The sequence below is a fragment of the Homo sapiens genome, chromosome 7 (genome assembly GCF_000001405.40).
Source record: "Homo sapiens chromosome 7, GRCh38.p14 Primary Assembly".
Classification (NCBI taxonomy): Eukaryota; Metazoa; Chordata; class Mammalia; order Primates; family Hominidae; genus Homo; species Homo sapiens.
The window spans coordinates 69,025,111-69,047,063 of NC_000007.14; the positions used below are offsets into that span (position 1 = coordinate 69,025,111).

General features: G+C 41.5%; 1 long non-coding RNA gene across 1 annotated transcript; it reads left to right on the forward strand.

The window, feature by feature from the left end:
- The first annotated feature begins 1,297 nt into the window (after positions 1-1,297).
- LOC105375342 (uncharacterized) lies at positions 1,298-21,691 on the forward strand. The gene is made up of 4 exons (NR_187909.1): positions 1,298-1,372; positions 15,024-15,155; positions 15,758-15,923; positions 21,555-21,691. It is a non-coding gene; the product is annotated as an uncharacterized LOC105375342 (long non-coding RNA).
- The last annotated feature ends 262 nt before the right edge of the window (positions 21,692-21,953 follow it).

The following is a 21,953-nucleotide window of genomic DNA, read 5'->3' on the forward strand; positions in this document are numbered from 1 at the left end:
AGTCAAAGGAGCGTACCACTTTCTGAGAGGGTGGACAGACATTCAACGTTTGACATTCACAACAGTAAAATGCCCTATGCAGCTCTCTCTCCCTGATCACCCCCTCCAATATCTCTTTCTGAAATGGCTCCTTCCACAGACATTGTGGACCCCTTCCTGAAGGAGTTCTTATCTGGCCAGTTCCCATCCTGTCTGGTGACTCAAAGAGGCCACCAGTGAGGGACAGACTTAGCTCTAAAAATGAGACACTCGGAGTGATTGGCTCTTCAATTCTCCCCATGCCCACTCTGCAGCGTGGCCAGAGGGTTAGCTTTGCTACTTCTGCTTCTTATGGTCCCCTCCAATGACTTTGGGATTTTTATTTTAACCTGCTCTGTGCTTAAAAACAAAATAAAGAAGGCCGGATGTGGTGGCTCATGCCTGTAATCTCAGCATTTTGGGAGGCAGAGGCGGGTGCATTGCTTGAGGTCAGGAGTTCAAGCCTATCCAGACAACATGGTGAAACCCCGTCTCTAGTAAAAATACAAAAATTAGTTGGGCATGGTGGTGGGCACCTGTAATCCCAGCTGCTCAGGAGGCTGAGGCAGGAGAGTCGCTTGAAGCCAGGAGGTGGAGGCTGCAGTGAGCCGAAATCACGCAACTGCACTCCAGCCTGGGCGACAGAGACTCCACCTCAAAAAATAATAATAATAAATAAAAAGCCAGATGCAATGACTCATGCCTTAATTCCAGCAGTTTGGGAAGCCAAGGCAGGAGGATCACTTGAGCTCAGGAGTTCAAAACCAGCCTGGGCAACATAGCAAGACCTTGTCTATACTAAAAATAAAAAATATTATATAAGTAAATAAAATAACAAAAAAAATAATAATAAAAGTGATCAAGAAGCTATGATAAAACTCATTCAGGTTCCCACCTCCTTATGACAATATTTTCCAAACTGCTGGAATATATATTGTTTAACCTTTATACAGAAAAATGAAGCATAGGTACATGGAATGATTGTACCACTTGGTGATATCTTACAAGGTGAACATCCTTATAACCACCACCCAGGCCAAGAACTAGAACTTGGCCTAGCTAGCCCAGAAATCCACTTCCTTTCTCCAAAAGTTACCAGCTAAATCACAGTTTAAGTGGAGCAGAGTCGAAAATATTAGCAGGCATCAAATGGAGCCAACGATGGTTGTAATCTGGCGTTTTTCTTCCATATTAACTTTTATGTTAATGTGTGTCTGTGTGTGTATTTGTGTGTATGTTACTGAGTCACAATGTATCACTGTTGGTCACAATCCAAAAAGTTTAACAGGCCGGGTGCGGTGGCTCATGCCTGTAATACCAACACTTTGGGAGGCCGAGGCAGGTGGATCATGAGGTAAGGAGTTCAAGACCAGCCTGGCCAACATGGCGAAACCCTGTCTCTAACTAAAAATACAAAAATTAGCCAGGTGTGGGGGCGTGCGCCTGCAGTCCAAGCTACTTGGGGGTTGAGACAGGAGAATTGCTTGAACCTGGGAGGCACATGTTGCAGTGAGCTGAGATCGTGCCACTGCATTCTAGCCTGGTCGACAGAGAAGACTCCATCTCAAGAAAAAAAAAAAAAAAAGGAAAGTTTAATAGCCACTGCACCAAACTGAATTGTGAGGGAGGGGAAATGAGAGAAAACTCCATGATTTTGTTTGTTCCCTAAAAATGGGCAGACACAGGCTCGGTGTCACGTGTTTCCCACTTTGTAATGACTACAGCAGCTTCCCTTCTCACCTATCAGAACATTTCAGAAAACATAAAATATTTTTAAAGAACATGAAATATCTGTCCATATTATGCAAAAAAATGAATGTGGAATATTATAAAGAAAGCAATTAATCCACACTTAAAACTAATTGCCTAACCCAGTGGGTCTTTAAATTATTCATTAGTGCTATTTAAAAATAATTGCAGTTTATGAGGAAAACCCATTATGAATTTCTTTTAAGAACTGAAAAGAAAAGGTTTCCATTTTTATTATTTACCAACTGCTTACGGCTCTTGAAACCAGACCCATTTTTAGACCAGCTTAATATGCTCATTATCCTGCTGCCCCAATCAAATCATCTTTAACATTTATCATATCAACATTTCACGAGATTCCCTGTAATGGATTCTGAACTCACAGAGAGGACAAAGGTATTGTCCAAAAAGGACATAACCAGCTACTCAGGAGGTTGAGAAGGGAGGATCACCTGAGCCTGGGAGGTCGAGGCTGCAGTGAGCTGCAGTCGTGCCACTGCACTCCAACCTGGACAACAGAACAAGACCCTATATCAAAAGAAAAGAATATGAAAGGTATGTTCAAAAAGAAAAAAAAAAATAAGACATTCAGAGGACAAAGGTATTGTCCAAAAAGGACATAACCAGCTACTCAGGAGGTTGAGAAGGGAGGATCACCTGAGCCTGGGAGGTCGAGGCTGCAGTGAGCTGCAGTCGTGCCACTGCACTCCAACCTGGACAACAGAACAAGACCCTATATCAAAAGAAAAGAATATGAAAGGTATGTTCAAAAAGAAAAAAAAAAATAAGACATTCAGAGAACAAAGCAAGAAACCACTACCAAGATGTAAGAATTTCCTGAGATTAAGTTCATGCTTATTCCTGCATCTCCAACTGAGTAACCTGGGATTTCCTCATGAGTTTTGCTAAAATTAGTCAAGACTTCTGAATTCTCTCACTGCTGTCTTCATTTACTTCATGCCACCAGAAACTAAAACTGAAAAAATAAATAAATAATATAAAAGACACATGGACAAGTTCACATGAGATGGGACAGAAGGGTTCACAGCCAAATTTATTGGAACCAAAGCCCATGTGATTTTATTTTATTTTTTTGTTTGTTTATTTTTAGAAATGGGGACTTGCTCTGTTGCCCAAGCTGGAGTACAGAAGTGCAATCATACCTCAGTGCAGCCTGGAACTCCTGGGCCCAAGTGGTCCTCCTACCTCAGCCTCCCAAATAGTTGGGACTATAGTGGGGCACCACCATGCCTGGCAAATTTTTAAATTTTTGTAGAGTGGGGGTCTTGCTGTGTTGTCCAGGCTTTGTCTTCAACTCATGGGCTCAAGCAATTCTGCTGCCTTGGCCTTCCAAATTGCTGGGACTACAAGTATGCACCAACATGCTGGGCTAATGTAAAACTCATGTCGCATTCTTAGTTTCTCTACTTTTTTTTTTTTTTTTTGAGACAGAGTCTCACTCTGTCATTCAGGCTGAAGTGCAGTGGCCTGATCTCAGCTCACTGCAACCTCTGCCTCCTGGGTTTAAGCAATTCTTCTGCCTCAGCCTCCCAAGTAGCTGGGACTACAGGCGTGCGCCACCACACCCCGCTAATTTTTGTATTTTTAGTAGAGACTGGGTTTCACCATGTTGGCCAGGCTGGTCTCGAACTCCTGACTTCAAGGGATCCACCTGCCCTGGCCTCCCAAAGCACTGGCATTATAGGCGTGAGCCACCATGCACAGCCACTTTATCTACTTCTTTGGTTCCTTCAAAGAATACTCAGAATTGTAGCTGTGAAATGGTAGAACCTAAAAGGACTTCTGTCTAGTTTAGTGGTTTTCAAACTGTGTCCCCAGGCATGCAGAAGTAGGAGCATGAACTGATGAGTTGGCAGGCCTGGGGTCCCCAGCTCCATCTCAATGCCTATCCCCAAGTCTCCATCACCAGAGCCTACTTTGAACCTTTTTAAGATTTCATTTGGGCCTGGTGCAGTGGCTCACACCTGTAATCCTAGCTACTCGGGAGGCGGAGGCAGAAGAATTGCTTGAGCCAGGGAGGCAGAGGTTGCAGTGAGCCGAAATTGTGCCACTGCACTCCAGCCTGGGCAACAGAGTGAGACTTTGTCTCAAATGAAAAAAGAAAAAACGATTTCATTTGAAAAAGGCATTCTTCCCCTAAAAACAAAATTCAAAATTTACTCTCATGATGTAGATAAGAACACCAAGGCTCTACCCTCTAGCTCCAGGGTGGACCCTTATTAGCTGATGCCAATAGACTGTATCTCCTACCCCTGACAACAGCAATTGGTTCTGTGATGGGGACCTCACTCATTTGAGGCTAGGAAAGCAAACAGATGTTTTCTGAAACTACTGGGAAAAGCCATCTCTCTTCAGCTGACTCTGATCTTTCCTTTAAATCTTCCCCTTAACCCTCCCCACAAAATCTTTTCTAATTGGTTGATCATAGATTTTTTGCATCAGTTTTGTTTTTTACATATAACATCAAAATATTATTTATGCTTTTTATTTAATTTTTTATTTTTTCAAATTTCTGTTTATTCATTTTTGGGGGGTGGGGTGGGGGTAGGGACAAGAACTCACTGTGTCACCCAGGCTGGAGTACAGTAAGTGGAATGATCTTAGCTCACTGCAGCCTCCAGCTCCTGGGCTCAAGCAATCCCCGTGCCTCAGCCTCCCCAGCTGGGACTACAGACATGAGCCACGATGCCCAGCTAATTCTTTAAATTTAATTTTTTGTAGAGATGGGGGTCTTGCTATGTCTTTAGGCTGATGTCAAACTCCTGCCCTCAAGCAATCCACCCATCTCCCCACCTCAGCTTCCCAAAGTGCTGGGATTACAGCCCTGAGCCACCCCATCTGGCCAAAATATTGTTTATCTTGAGTTGTTTTTGGCAGCTCTCCTCTTAAATTTGGCATCTCAGACAAGTGCCTCAATCCCCTAGGCTTAGTCCCTGCCCTGTCGGGATATGGAGCCCATGGTTGCCACAACTTTTTTTTTCCCCACTTTGAGGAGACACTTTGGACTTGATATGGAACCACCACATAGAGCTTTCAGAGGAAGTCATCATTACATAAGACCAAGAGAAACCAGGTCCTAGTTATTTGAGCTGCTAGATCAAGCCTTGCCTGAAGCCACCATACCACTTGACAATTCACAAGAATTGGCGAATTCTCTTTACTCTATAAGCCAACTTGAATTGTTTTATTTGAACTGTAACTGAAATAATGCAAACTGATGCAATGACCAGTTACACGGGGTTAGCCCCTGAATGTCTTGTTGCTTTCAATGTGTGGTCAATTAAACAGAGCCAACATACCCTTGATGGCTATGGTCAACTTTCAGCAGTTTTCATTGTAGAGTAAAATTTTATTCTATCACTTATGCGGGCCCTTTTATGCACCAGGCACTGTGATAAACACTCCATATATATTTTATGAAATATTGAGCTCCCATCAAAAAATATATATATCAACTGGGTCAAGCACAGTGGCTCATGCCTGTAATTCTAACACTTTGGGAGGCGGAGGTGGGCTCATGGCTTGAGCTCAGGAGTTAGAGACCAGCCTGGACACCATGGGGAAACCCTGTCTCTACAAACCAAAAAACAAAAAACAAAAAAATTAACCAGGTGTGGTGGTGCACACCTGTGGTCCCAGCTACTTGGGAGGCTGAGGTGGGAGAATCACCTGAACCCAGGAGGTTGAGGCTGCAGTGAGCCACAGTCACACTACTGCACTTCAGCCTGGGGACTGGAGTTACACCCTGTATCAAGAAAGAGAGAAAAAGATGTCAGCTGGTACTATTATTACCCACATTTTAGAGGAAGGGAAATGAATGAATAAGGAAAAGAGCAACATGTACAAGGTCACTTGAGCAGTTGCAGAGCAGGAATTCACAGCCAAAATTGTCTGAACCAAAGCCTGTGTTTCTTAATGTCTCACGCAATCTGGTCTCAAGATTTTAGCTACAGGCCAGGTGCAGTGGCTCACACCTGTAATCCCAGCACTTTGAAAGGCTGAGGTGGGCAGATCACTTGAGGTCAGAAGTTCAAGACCAGCCTCGCCAACATGGTGAAACCCTGTCTCTACTAAAAATACAAACATTAGCTGGGCATGGAGGCATGCACCTATAATCTCAGTTACTTGGGAGGCTGAGGCAGGAGAATCACTTGAACCCAGGAGGCAGAGGCTGCAGTGAGCTGAGATCACACCACTGCACTCCAGCCTGGGAGACTAAGTGAGACTCCATCTCAAAAGAAAAAAAAAAGGCCAGGCGCAGTGGCTTACGCCTGTAATGCCAGTACTTTGGAGGCCGAGGCAGGCGGATCACAAGGTCAGGAGATCGAGACCATCCTAGCTAACACAGTGAAACGCCGTCTCTACTAAAACTATAAAAAAATTAGCCCGGCGTGGTGGCGGGCGCCTGTAGTCCCAGCTACTTGGGAGGTTAAGGCAGGAGAATGGCGTGAACCCGGGAGGCGGAACCTGCAGTGAGCCGAGATCACGCCACTGCACTCCAGCCTGGGCGACAGAGAGAGACACTGTCTCAAAAAAAAAAAGAAAAAAAAAATTAGCTATTATAGAAGAGAATACCTGCTATGTAATAGATGCTCAATAGGTATCTGAGGAATGAATGAGTGAGTGAATGAATAAGTCTATTAATTAATTGAAAGGTGAAGTGTTAGGCATTTTGATGCACCTTCATTTCATTTGCATTGACCCCTCTCCATAAATAGAGTGCAAAATTGCAGCCTCTTTAGGTTAAGTTTCACTTAATACAGGTGTTTCTATTAAAGGACATGGTTCTCAGGGGTGCATGTCATCAACATGATTGAATACAAATTTCTGAAAAAAAAAAAAAACACAGAGATAGAATAATAGCTATCCATCTGAAAAAGTCCCATGGCAAATCAGGTCTCCTGACTTCAAAGGGCTTGAGAAGGAATCAAACCAGGTCAAGGACTTGAAAATGTCTTGAAAAATATAAGGCAATACACAACTGATGATTAGTATGCTTTTAGATTTATTATCTTCATTCAAAGACTTACCATACAAAAAGCCTGCATTGAATGCTAAATTTCTTTTACTCTAAGACCTAGAGCGATCACTTGATGAGTACGTCTCTAAGACAAAATCAATGCAATGTTAAGCCATAAGTTTATCTGACAAAGGTAAATATCACAGTACAGAGTTCCAGGTTTTTAGCATCCTTACCCAAAGCAATAAATAAACAGACTCCTCCCAAAGTAAAGATGGAAATATAATTATTCAGTCTCTTCATGTTAGATTTGCCCAGAAATTGAAATATTGTTAGCAAACACAGATTTAAATTTTGTGCTCCAATGAATTGGTAGATCTCTTAGTTTATTGTATTGATTTCTCTACATTCTACCACAGGGAAATTATGCAGACTCTTAGAGTACATGAAAAGAATACTGATAATTATGGAATTTGCTGCTTAGCTTGAAGATAATTTCATGAAACTCTTCCGATCTATTGGCATGGTGGCCCGTGTGTGAGTGTATCGCTGCCGTTCTCAAGACCTGTGATCTGACGCATGTTCTAAGTGTGTTTGAAACTCTGAGCTAATTATTCAATTCAGCAAATAAAGTCAGCCCAGACAGTTTAGCCTACGGGGCTGGTTGTTTAACACATTTAAGTCATCCTATAGTCCGAGGCTGGGGGTCACAATACAGTCTGCTCCCAATCCCACTGGCAGGACAAAAGTGCCTCTTCATAAAATGGAAACCCCAGGGGTCCACCCCAGATCTGTAGGATAAGCATCGGAACCCAGGGCATCTCTATTTAAATGAGCCCTTCAGGTGCCTCTCCTGCACAGCCAGGTGAAGAAAACACTTCTATGTTCATAACAGCACAGAATCCAGTAGGGACCAAGATAATTCATTCCTTTGTTTTGTCTGCATGATGCTCCATATAACTGCTTTCATTTTATATTTTGTTGATTTTTTACAAGACCCGTTGGACCCCCTGGCTGCTATAATGTCACAGAGCGACAGGCTCAGAGGCTTTGCTTCAATCTGGAAAAAACAACCATGCTTAGGATTTGAGAGAATTGTATTTATCACAGAGTCTTAGAGTGTGTCTGTTTCAGGCCGCCCATCTGCATTCCCTGTAGTGGTTCTTCCCCACTGAGGTTCAAAGTCGTCTCTCTGTTATAAATAATAACCCTTCAATTTTATGAAGACAGTAAATCTCTCAGTGAGACTCTAAACACCTCTTTTCACCTGACCATCCAGACAAAAAAAAAAAAAAACACTAATGGAGGGCAATGGAAAGCATACAGGCTTTTAACTAAAAATAGAACTACCATTTGATCTGGCAAACCCACTACTGGATATAGATACCCAGAGGAAAAGAAGTCATTATACAAAAAAGATACTTGCACACGCATGTTTATAGCCTCACAATTCGCAGTTGCAAAAATGTGGAACCAGCCCAAATGCCCATCAATCAACAAGTGGATAAAGAATCTGATAAATATATATATACACACACATATATATATAATATACATATACATATGTATATATAATACATATATACACATATATGTATACATACATACACATATATACACATGCGTATGTATACATATACACATATGTATATATGTATATATGTATAATATATTCAGTATATAATATATACACATATGTATATATTATACATACACACACACGTGTATATATTATACATACACACACACGTGTGTGTATATTGTACATACACGCACACGTGGGTGTATATTGTACATACACGCACACGTGGGTGTATATTGTACATACACGCACACGTGTGTATATTGTGCATATATACACATATACATGTATGCATATATACACATATACATGTATGCATATATACACATATATAGTATAATATACATATGTGTATATGTATATTATACATATATACATATGTGCATATGTATATATAATACATATTATATGTATATACATATACATATACACATATATGTGTATATGTGTATATATAATACATATGTATATACATATACATATACACATATATCTGTATATGCGTATATATAATACATATTATATGTATTATAATATATGTTATAATATATTATAAATGTACTATAGTATATGTATGTATCATATTATATATGTATGTATGATATATATGTATAAATAATACATATTATATGTATTATAATACATATCATAATGTATTATAAATGTATTATAATATATGTATGTATAATATAATATATGTATGTATGATATATATGTATAAATGATGGAATACTACTCAGTCATAAAAAGGAATGAATTAATGGCATTTGTAGCAACTTGGATGGAATTGGAGACTTATTCTAAGGGAAGTAACTCAGGAATGGAAAACCAAACATCGTATGTTCTCACTCATAAGTGGGAGCTAAGCTATGAGGATGCAAAGGCATAAGAATGACACAATGGACTTGGGGGACTCTGGAGGAAAGTGTAGGAAGGGGGTGAGGGATAAAAGACTACAAATTGGGTGCAGTGTATACTGTTGGGGTGATGGGTGCAACAAAATCTCACAAATCACCGCTGAAGAACTTAACTCATGTAACTACCACCTGTTTCCCAATAATCTATGGAAATAATTTTTTTTTAAAAAAAAGAAAGTACACAGGCTTTTAATCCTGCACTTACTAGCTGGTAGATTTTGGGCCCGTGATGAAAATTAAATAAGATAATCCACATAAAATATATGCACTAGATAAACAATAGCTATTAGGATCATCAGTATTACTAAGTGATGTTTTCTGGGACTCTGAAAACTCTAAAGCTTTTATATTTCATGTGGTCTGACCTACCATTTTCTTACAGCAAGTGCGGCTATACCTTCAGATATGATTTGGCCAGAGAAGAGCTAAATAAACATATTACTTGGGGTTTTTAAAATTTATTTTATTTTTGTTTTTATTTATTTTATTTTTGTTTAAGATAGGGGAGGTTGGCCGGGCATGGTGGCTCACATGTGTAATCCCAGCACTTTTGGAGGCCAAGGCAGTCGAATCACAAGGTCAGGAGATCAAGACCATCCTGGCCAACGTGGTGAAACTCCGTCTCTACTAAAAATACAAAAAATTAGCCAGGTGTGGTGGCGGGTGCCTGTAATCCCAGCTAACTGGGAGGCTGAGGCAGGAGAATCACTTGAACTTGGGAGGTGGAGGTTGCAGTGAGCCGAGATTGTGCCACTGGACTCCAGCCTGGTGACAGATCGAGACTCTGTCTTAAAAAAAAAAAAAAAATTGGGGAGGTCATACTCCCAAAATCCTTTTCTCTAGTAAAGCAACAGCTGGAATATTGAGATTATTTCTAGACACCCCACTTTATATATGTATGTATGTGTTTATTTATTTTTGAGACAGGGTCTCACTCTGTGGCCCAGACTGGAGTGCAGTGGCACAATCAAGGCTCACTGCAGCCTTGACCTCCCAGGCTGAAGGGACTCTCCTGCTTCAGCCCCCAAGTAGCTGGGACTGCAGGGATACGGCACCATGCCTGGCTAATTTTTGTATTTTTTTGGTAGCAATGGGCTTTTCTCCATGTTGCCCAGGCTGGTCTAGAACTCCTAGGCTCAAGTGACCCACCTGCCTCGGCCTCCCAAAGTGTTGAGATTACAGGCGTGAGCCACCATGCCTGGCCAACACCCTACTTGAAGAAGAATGCAGGGAACCTTGGGGAAAAGTGAGAAGGGAAATTCTGGAAATCCAGTCATTATCATATGAGAAATTGCTTTGGAAACTGGTGTTCTCATGGTTCTCATGGCCGAGTGGGGTGGCTCACATGTATAATACCAGAACTTTGGGAGACTGAGGCAGAAGGATCATTTGAAGTCAGGAGCTGGAGACTAGCCTGGACTGTTTCTACAAAGAAAGTAAAAAAGAAAAGAAAGAAACTGGCGTTCTCAGCTAGGAAAAGAAAAGCCATAGGGGAAGGTAAGACAGTGGTCTTCAAATATCTGAATGGCTGTTTCATAGATGTAGAATATGATTTACTGAGATGACCTCAAGTAATGCAATTAGAACGCGGGCACTCGAGATGATCTGTACGGCCTCCCAGCGCAGTCTAAGGTGACTGGAGTCCAGGAGTTTCCTTCACTGAGCTCTCTGCCTCTACCCAGACTGAAAAGAAATGTGTGTTAATTTTTAAACAGTCATAGTACAGCGCTGTTCTTTCTGAATATTCAAATGTGGCTGAGACTCTTGCTGGAAACGGGTAGCCTGCAAATTAGAGATGAACCACTGTAATTCACATGAGGAAAACAACCCCAAAGACAATGACATATGAGCAGTGGCAAGCAGGATGCCTCAGTAAATTATTTAAAGGGGTCTAAAAAGCATGATTTTCAGGCATCAGGCTCTGCACAGTCTGTTGAGAGCTTTCACCCTGAATATCATGATTATCAGTAAGATGCAGGGGAGGTCCACCAACAAACGGCCCTGGCTGCTCAACAAAACCCTCGTCCACAAACCGAAATCCAGTCCAGAGCAAAGCAGGGATTTTCCTTAATCCAAAAAGCAGACAAGCCGTGTGCAGTGGCTCATGCTGTAATCCCAGCAAGATGGGAGGCTGAGGCAGGAGGATCCCTGGAGGCCGGGAGTTCGAGACCGGGCTGGAAGCCCAGGTTTGATTGGCATTTTGGCCACCACTGCCTAATAGCACTCATTTAGACATTTGGCTGCCTCAGGAGGAGGAGAAGCAGGTTGGAGTTTCAGTGTCACCTCTAGCACTTTTACCCAGACCAGCCTGGGCAACATAGTGAGACACCATCTCTACAAAAAAAAAAAAAAATACAAAAAGCAGACAATTGTTTAACAAACAGCAAATCAACTTTTTATTAAACTTGATTTTCATGATGCATGATGCAGTAGATAGGGAACCCTCAAATATCTAAGCTTATTCCATAGACATAAAACAACTTGTGTTTTGCTTGGTACTAATGCCACTGAATTAAAACAGCTTTTCTGAGAAAAGCAAAGTCTAACAAAATACTTTTTTTTATCCCATACTTCAAAAATAAATGAGTGGGCTCATCTATTTACAAGGAAAGTAAACGAATTTACAAATAAACTTATGACTCTGTGACTGCCTTTTTTTTGTTTTGTTTTGTTTTGTTTTGAGACGGAATCTCACTGACTCTGTCACCCGAGTGCAGTGGCGCGATCTCAGCTCACTGCAACCAATGCCTCCTGGGTTCAAGCAATTCTGCCGCAATCTCCCAAGTAGCTGGGATTACAGGTGCACGCCACCACATCTGACTAATTTTTGTGTTTTTAGGAGAGATGGGGTTTTGCCATGTTGTCCAAGGTGGTCGGGAACTCCTGACCTCAAATGATTCTGCCCATCTCGGCCTCCTAAAGTGCTGAGATTACAGGCATGAGCCACTGTACCCGGCCTCATTTCATTTATTTTCTAATCGCAAACCGTTTGCGGGAGTGCCATTTTTTGGAGGAAAATAGTGGGATGCAGAGGGGTTACACTTCTTGCCTGAATCATGCAATAAAAGTGGCAGAGGTGACACTGAAACTCCAACCTGCTTTTCCTCCTCCTGAGGCAGCCAAATGTCTAATGGAGTGCTATTAGGCAGTGGTGGCCAAAATGCCAATCAAGCCTGGGCTAACCTAAGGCAACAGAATAAACTCGAGGAGGGTAGCATGTTAAGAAGCAGGCTGGACATGGTAGCTCACACCTGTAATATCGATGCTTTGGGAGGCTGAGGCTGGAGGTTCCCTTGAGGCCAGGAGTTTGAGACCAGCCTAGGCAACATAATGAGACCCAATCTCTACAAAAATAAAATGATCAGCCAGGCGTAGTGTCACTCACCTGTAATCCCAGCTACTTGGGAAACTGGGGTGGGAAGATCCCTGGAGGCCAGGAGTTGGAGGCTGCAGTGAGCTATGATCGTGCCACTGCACTTCAGCCTGGGCAACAGAGTGAGAGGTTGTCTCCATAGAAAAGAAAAAAAGAGCCAAGATTAGATGGAATAGTGCCAGTACTGAAAATACCAAAATTAAGGTATAAACTGTGATAAAGGGTGTTTGGAAAATCGGTGATGCTCCAGGTACTAATCAGAACATTAACCTTGGCATTTGCAAAGTTAACCTTGGTTTCCCAATCTCATGCATGACCTGGAAGGTCCACAGCAAGGTCACCAATTAGACCCCCACACAGCCCCACCAGTTTGCACAACTCCAAGGAACATGATCGACGTAGACAGCAGTATGGGTGGTACCTTCCAGAGTCATATGGTGCGGCAGACCTGTAGGAGTCGTTGTCATATTAACAGATGCTATAGCTAGTGAACAGCCTAGCTCACTTCCTAGCATCTGTATCTTGATGTGGACTTGTTGCTTTCTCTATTTAATCCAAATATGCCATGGCGCTTGCAATGTGTAAGGTATCTCATATCTTTTTTGCTTTTGAGTTTGGATCTTGCTCCATTGCCCAGGCAAGAGTGCAGTGCTGCGACCATGGCTCACTGTGCCCTTGACCTCCTGGGCTCAAGCGATCCTCCCACCTCAGCCTCCCAGAGAGTATCTGGGACTACAGGCACACACCACCATGCCCAGTTAGTTTTTAAAATTTTTTGTAGAGATGAGGTTTCCCTGTGTTGCCCAGGCTGGTCTCAAACTACTGAACTCAAGCAATTCTCCCACTTCAGCCTCCAAAAGTGCTGAGATTACAGGCAGGAGCCACCATGCTGGGCCCTCATGTCTTTTCAGGGAAAAAAAGACCCCATTTACAATTGCCAATATGAATAATAGGAATAAAAAGAAAGTGAAGTGTTAGATAAATCCAAGGGTAAAATATCAAATTTGGTAATTGCTTGAAGCCACCAAATACTCCATAAGGGAAAGTAATTTCTGAAACTGTTCAATGAGTGTTTCAACAAGAATTTATTTTAATTGCTTCATAAATTGCTTTAATCCTATATTTAGGGAATCATTAGGGGCCTGAAAGGGTCACTTAAAATTTTCACTTATGCTTAACTAAATTTTATGGAGAAAATTACATGTTTTAATAGTATTCACAGAATTGTGGACTTGTAAAGGTCTCAAGATTTGTCCTTCCAAAATAGCAAAGGTCTGTGACTCAATATCACTTAATTTTCACAATAGCCCCATGAAGGAAGTATAATTATTCTCATATTACAGATGAGACAGCTGACCCTCAAAGAGTTTGAATTATTTGCCAAGTAAGCAATTTGAAGGAAAGATCCTGCGTTCTTCACCTTTCCATTCCCAGGATCTGGCAGAGGACAGATATTCCAGATGTTACTCCAGGGGTTCTCAAAGTCTGCTCTCTGGCTGGGCATTGTGGTTCATGCCTACAATTTCAGGTCTTTGGGAGGCTGAGGCAGGAGGATTGCTTGAGCCCAGGAGTTTGAGACCAGCCTGGGCAATGTAGCCAGATGTTATCTCTACAAAAAAAATTTTTTTTAAATTGTTGTCCCCCGACCAGCCACATAACCATCACCTGGGAACTTATTAGAAATGCAAATTCTTGGGCTCACTCCAGACCTCCTGACTCAGACATTCTGGGTACAAGAAGACGTATTTGTTTTTGCTTGTTTGTTTGTTTTGTTTTGTTTTGAGACAGAGTCTCACTCTGTCACCCAGGCTGGAGTGTAGTGGCACGATCTCTGCTCACTGCAACCTCCGCCTCCCAGGTTCAAACGATTCTCCTGCCTCAGCCTCCCGAGTAGCCGGGACTACAGGCGCCTGCCACCGCACCCGGCTAATTTTTATGTTTTCAATAGAGACATGGTTTCACCATGTTGACCGGGCTGGGCTCAAACTCCTGACCTCAGATGATCCACCCGCCTCTGCCTCCCAAAGTGCTGGGATTACCCGTGTGAGCCACTGTATCCAGCCCTGTTTTTTTTTTTTTTTTTTTTTTTTAGAAACAGAGTCTCACTCTGTTGCACAGGCTGAAGTGCCATGTGCCATGGCACAATCGTACCTCACTACAACCTCAAACTCCCAGGCTCAAGTTATTTCTCCTCGGCCTCCCTGAGTAGCTGGGACTACAAGTGTGCACCACCACACCTAGCTAATTTATTTTATTTTATTTTTTGTAGAGCTGGGGTCTCACTAGATCGCCCAGGCTGATTTCAAACTCCTGGCCTCAAACAATCCTCCCATCTCAGCCTCCCAAGTAGCCAATATTACAAATGCATGCTCTCATAACTGACTAATTTTTTATTCTTTTTAGCTTTTTGTAAAGACAGGAGTCTCACTCTGTTGCCCAGGCTGGTCTCTAACTCCTGGCCCCAAATGATCCTCCCATCTCAGCCTCTCAAAGCTCTGGGATTGCAGGTGTGAATCATCTCACCTAGCCAGCAAGGTATGTTTTAACAAGCCCTCCAGGAGACTGATGCATCCAACATTTAGTTTTAGTAATGCATGCTAGATTTAATGGTGTACACTAAAGTATGCAGTAACCCATGTGTTAAATGAATGTTGAGTGGAGATCATGAAAGTAGGAAGAGGTAGATTCAGGATTCTTGGAGCCCAGAAGCCAAAGTCAAAAGGAAGATCTAGGAAAGTAACATCCCAGCTATGGACTGACCTTTAATGGAGTTTCCTCATGGCTCAGTTCTTAAAGGAGCTCTTTGTCCTCAAGCCACCGTATGCCAGGATCTGTACACCTCTGAGTGTCCCACCATGCCTCTCTGCCAGCAGTGTGTATGGAATCTGGGTCCCTCTCCTCCAATGAATATAATTAGTTGCGTTTCTATTTTGCTTCCTTCCTCCAAAACCCATCAAAGCAAGGGCCACCTGAGGAAAGAAAATTTCATCTTGCATAAAACCAGATTTATCTTCATTCTTTGCCCAACAATACAATGAAAGCCCAAGTGATTTTTCCACATTTGGTAGCACTTAGAAGCTTTTCATCAGTGCAAGAATAAAAAGGAGAACTATTTTCCTCATTTCTGTTTACTGCAGTGATACAGCTGAAAGAAAACAATTTGACTCTATAAAGCACTGAGATGTTTTTGACTTGAAACAAGCACCAAAGTCTCAGTCGTTTATCCAGAATCACAGCCTCCCTGAGATGAAAGGAGCCTAAGAGATCATCAAGTCAGTGTGACATGATTTGCAAGGATACCAGGTATTGTTTCTCTTAAAGAGTTATGTACATGGGTTTTTTGTGTGTTTGTTTGTTTTGTTTTGTTTTTGAGAAAGAGTCTCATTCTGTCACCCATGCTGCAGTGTAGTGGTGCAGTCATGGCTTACTGCAACCTCTGCCTCCCAGGTTCGAGCCATTCTCCTGCCTTAGCCTCCCGAGCTGCTGGAATTACAGGTGTGCACCACCATGCCAAGCTAATTTTTGTATTTTTAGTGGAGACCGGGTTACACCATGTTAGCCAGACTGGTCTCAAACTCCTGACCTCAGGTAATCTGCCTGCCTCGGCTCCTAAAGTGCTGGGATTACAGGCATGAGTCACTGTGCCAGGCCTGTTTGTTTGTTTGTTTGTTTGTTTGATTGTTTGTTTGTTTTGGGACAGAGTCTCACTCTGTTGCCCAGGCTGGAGTGCAGTGGCACCATTTCAGCTCACTGCAACCTCCACCTCCCAGGTTCAAGCAATTCTCCTGCCTCAGCCTCCCAAATAGCTGGGATTACAGGTGTGTGCCACCATGCCAAGCTAATTTTTGTATTTTTAGTAGAGGCAGGGCCTCACCATGTTGGCCAGACTAGTCTCGAACTCCTGACCTCAAGTGATTTGCCCTCCTCAGCCTCCCAAAGTGCTGGGGTTACAGGCATGAGCCACCACGCCTGGCCTGTATGTGTTTTAATATGTATTAGGATAAAGTATTACTTTCATACCAAACCCAGGATTTCTTGTATATGACTGCTTAGGGTAATGCTATAGTCATTTGTAAAAAACAAAAGTGAGGTGATTTCAGAAAAAGTAAGTAAGTAAGCAACAGCCCAGGTGTCATGCAGATATGACAAAAATTGTGAAAGGGATACATGAAGATTGGCCATTAGCTATCACTCCTGCCAGGGTCCTGGCAGGAAAAAGAATTCACTCTCCCCCTCCCCACTGGTAATGATTCAAATGAAGAGACTTCAATGAAGGCAATATTTAGGGAGTTGTGGGCAGGGACAAGAAAACCAAGCAAGATGGTGTAGCACCCAGAGACTCACTACAGGAGGGAGCTGTTACTACCCCTAAGGCTGAAGGGGCAAGAGAAGGAAAATGTGTGAGCAGAGGGCTATGGAAGAGAGGTGGCCTGGTAAGAACCCACACAGGGCACTGGGGAAAAGGAACAGGGAAGAAATCGCTCAACCTCTCCTCCTGCCCTCCCAACTCCCTCCTGGTCTTCCCATTGGCCAAACCCAAGCAGAAAACAGAGACAAAGGAACCAGGCAAGCTCACTGATAGGAACAAGCCTCCAGTAGTGCACTGCTCACTGCCTTCCATTTGCCAAATCTAGCAGAAAGCTAGCTTGCAAGGGAGCCTGGGAAATGTAGTTTTCAAGGTCCAGTGCCTTGTTACCCAGACCAGAGCTGGGGAAGGGTGGGAAGTAAACTTGAAAGCAAATAGGCAAATGATCTTCACATTGCCCACTCTAGCTTATCCTTCAGTCTCCAGTGTACTTGCCGCCTCCACAGGGAGGCCTTCCCCTGAAACTCTAGAGAAGTCATCCCAGTCCTCTATCACACCACCTCCTTGTTATTTTCCTGCATAGTGTTTAACAGTGATAAATACATTTACTGTTGCCTGTTTAATTTTTCCCTATGTCTCCCTGGTTGACACACTTCTTTATTGTAGAATACATACTCAATAAGTATTTATTGTAAGTAAAAGGAAGAGAAAAAAGGAACATATAAAAAATGCATCTGAGGACAAAAAAATTCAATAGAAAACTTTATGCTCAAAGTATAAAAAAATCATCAAAGCATGATGCCACAGAAAATGAAAGACAGGAACTAGCATTTTTGTTTTTTCCCATCCCAAGCCCAGTGAGGAAGATTTTGGAACTATCTAATCTAAAGCTGCAGCCAAATTCTGATTTATTCTTGGTTTATTCTAAGGAAGGTAGTGCACAATCTGAATACCTAAAAGTCCATGTTTCCACACACAAAAGAACAGATGAGAGAGTCGTTATTTGCCTCCACCTCCACTGCCAATATAGGTTTTCTAAAAAGCATGAATTAAACTCATGGAAATAGAGAGTAGAAGGATGATTCCCGGAGTCTGGGAAGGATAGTGGGGAGGACGGGGGGAAGTGGGGATGGTTAACGGGCATAAAACTACAGATAGAATGAATAAGGTCTACTATTTGATAGCATAATAAGTGACTACAGTCAACAATAATCTATTGCGCATTTTTAAATAATCAGAGGAGCATCATTGGAATGTTTGTAATACAAAGAAATGATAAATGCTTGAGAAGATGGATACCCCATCTACCGTGATGTGATTATTATCAGACTCTGTATGCCTGTATCAAAATATCTCATGTACCCTATAAATATATATATATACACCTACTGTGTACTCATAAAACTGAAATATTAAAAATTAACACAAAATCATACTTTAAAGAAAAAGATGTGTACCCCAGTTATAGCCATTTGTCCTCTGGTATTTGAACATTCATCTTCCGGCTGGTTCTAGCACATGAAGGTTAGGTGCCACATTAGGGAGGTATCACCAGTAAGTACTCCATGTCCCAAGATCAAGGTTATTCTTGGCAGTATGTCCTGATTACGACTGAACAGCTTGGATGAGTAAGAGCTCACTTTTTTATTACTATTTCAAGCATTTTTGCATGACCTGAAAACAATAATCAAAGGATAACTCCAGATAAATAAGCAAAATGTGTCCCTCATAGAGTTTAACATAGAGTTATACTATATCCCAGCAATTCCACTCCTAGGTATATGCCCAAGAGAACTAAAAATGTTATGTCCACAGGCCAGGCACAGTAGCTCATGCCTGTAATCCCAGCACTTTGGGAGGCCGAAGTGGGTGGATCACGAGGTCAGGAGATGGAGACCATCCTGGCTAACATGGTGAAACCCCGTCTCTACTAAAAATACAAAAAATTAGCCGGGCTTGGTGGCGGGCGCCCGTAGTCCCAGCTACTCGGGAGGCTGAGGCAGGAGAATGGCGTGAACCCAGGAGGCGGAGCTTGCAGTGAGCCGAAATCGCGCCACTGCCCTCTAGCCTGGGCGATAGAGTGAGACTCCATCTCAAAAAAAAAAAATGTTATGTCCACATAGATATTTGTACACAAATGTTCATGATAGCCAAAAAGTAGAAATGGACACAAATGTCCATCAAACAATGAATGGATAAACAAAATGTGGTATACCCATGCAATGGAATATTAGTTAGCCATAAAAAGGAGTGAAGTATCGACAGGTTCTACAACATAGATGAACCCTGAAAACCTTATACTAAGTGAAAGAAGCCAGCCACAACATGTTACATATTATATAATTCCATTTCTATGAAATTTGCAGAATAGGCAAATCCAGAGAGACAACAGAAAGAAGATTAATGGTTGCCAGGGGCTCGGAGAGGGTGCAACAGGGAGTGACTGCTAATGAGTAGAGGGTTTCTTTTGGAGATGGTGAATATGTTCTGGAATTAGATAGTGGTGATAGTTGCACAACTTTGCAACTATGTTTTTTAAAACCTGAGAAACTGTACACTTCATTTTTAATTTTTTCTCTTAGTTTTACTTTTAATTGACAAGTAATATTTGAAATATATTTATGGGGTACAATATGAGCTGGTTTTTTGTTCTTTGTTTTTATTAGGAGAACTTGTGCAAGTTTGTTCCATAGGTAAATTGAATGTCAAGGAGGTTTGGTGTACACATAATTTTGTCACCCAGGTGTATTAGTCCATTTTCATGCTGCTGATAAAGATATACCCAAGACTGGGCAATTTACAAAAGAAAGAGATTTAATTGGACTTACAGTTCCACATGGCTGGGGAGGCCTCAGAATCATGGCAGGAGGTGGAAGGTACTTCTTACATGGCAGTGGCAAGAGAAAATGAGGAAGATGCAAAAGCAGAAACCCCTGATAAAAACATTAAATCTCATGAAAATTATTCGCTATCATGAGAAGAATATACAGTATGGGGGAAACCACCACCATGATTCAAATTATCTCCCACTGGGTCCCTGCCACAACACATGGGAATTATGGGAGTATAATTCAAGATGAGATTTGGGTGGGGACACAGAGTCAAACCATATCACCAGGTAATCAACATATTACCTGATAGGTAATTTTTCAATCTTCATCCTCCTACCACCATCCACCCTCAAATAGGCCCTGGTGTCTATTGTTCCCTGCTTTGTGTACATGTGTACAGAATGGGAGAAAATATTTGCAAACTCTGCATCCAACAAAGGTCTAATATCCAGAATCTATAAGAAATTTAGACAAATCAACAAGCAAAAAACAAACAACCACATTAAAAAATGTGCAAAGGACATGAACAGGCACTTCTCAAAAGAAGATATACACACAGCCAACAAGCATATGACAAAATGCTCAATATCACTAATCATTAGGAAATGACATGTCAAAACCACAGTGAAATACCATCTCACACCACTCAGAATGGTTATTATTAAAAAGTCAAAAAATAACAGATACTAGTGAGGTTGCAGAGTAAAGGGAATGCTTATACACTGCTGGAGGGAATGTAAATTAGTTCATCCACTGTGGAAAGCAGTGTGGCAATTTCTCAAAGAATTAAAATAGAACTATCATTTGACCCAGCAATCCTATTACTGGGTATCTACCCGAAGGAATAGAAATTGTCTATCACAAAGATACAGGCATGCAAATGTAAATTGTACTTTTGATGATGAATCTTATGGTATGTGAATTCTATTTCAACTTAAAAATCTTTAAGAAATAAACAATATGTATAACATATCTTTGGATTAACACACTGAGCCAATTTCCATCATTCATAACATGATTTTATACTATCTCCATCAACGAAAAGGATAGCTGTTAACCTAGCAGTTCATAATATGGTCACTCAGTGTTCTGAGGCAAGAAACCAAAAGAGTTTATTATCATTTCTTTGTAGTACTTCTTGTAACAATCATTACTATGCATTGAGTACAGACTGTGATCCTGGGGCTGCTTTTTAAATCTCCCATGCTTAAAAACACACTAAATTCTCACAACAACCCTATCAGGTTGGCAGAAGTATTGTTAACTCTATTTCAGAAATGAGGAAAGAATGACATGGGGGGTTATACATCCCAAATCATAGAGCCAGGACATATCAAGGAGGAACAGAACCAAGCAAGTCTGGATCCAAGGTTTCTGCTTTTACCACCAGACTAGACTTCCTTTCAATACAATAAATGATGCTACTATTATTATCCTACTAATGTTTTAAATTTGAAGAGTGCTTCACAGTTCACAGAATATTTTACCATAAATAACGGAATACTTTATTAAATTCAATGTTGAAACAGCATCAAATTCAGATTCAACAGGCATTTATACACTCCCTAACTCATTTGAATGTTTTTCCCTCACCTATAATTCCACAAATACCACTCAAGACAATGAGTGAGCTCCACTGTTTGAATAAAAGAAAGAATGGAAAAGATGTTCACAATAATTACCCACTTCACTCCATCCTTTATAATTTTCAAAAATCTCCACATATATTATCATATTGGGTCTTTACAAAACTCACTGAAATAGAAAAAAATAGAAACAATTATTCCTGTATTTCAGATGATCAACTCAAGGCTCCAAAAAGTTGAGACAGAACTTGAATGATGGTCTCCTGGCTTGTAATCTTCTACACAACGTGCCATCAAATGGATCATTTGGGGGTGATATATTCACAAGAATTTGGCCAAGTTGGCAAATACTCGTTTTTGTTTTGGTTTTTTAATCTCTATTGTAGAAGTCGGCACGACATGTTCCCCCATCTAGGGAGGACCAATGTCTATCAATAGCATGCTTGAGTGCTAACTGTCATCATTTCCAGTTGTTGAAGCAAAACATTGATGTGACTGGTTTTATGTACTATACACGTGCAACTAAGGTAGGAAATGGAACCTGATTCTCCCGACACTCTTCTTTTTATTGGGGGAGTTGGAATGGCCATATTCATGGGGTGAATCACCG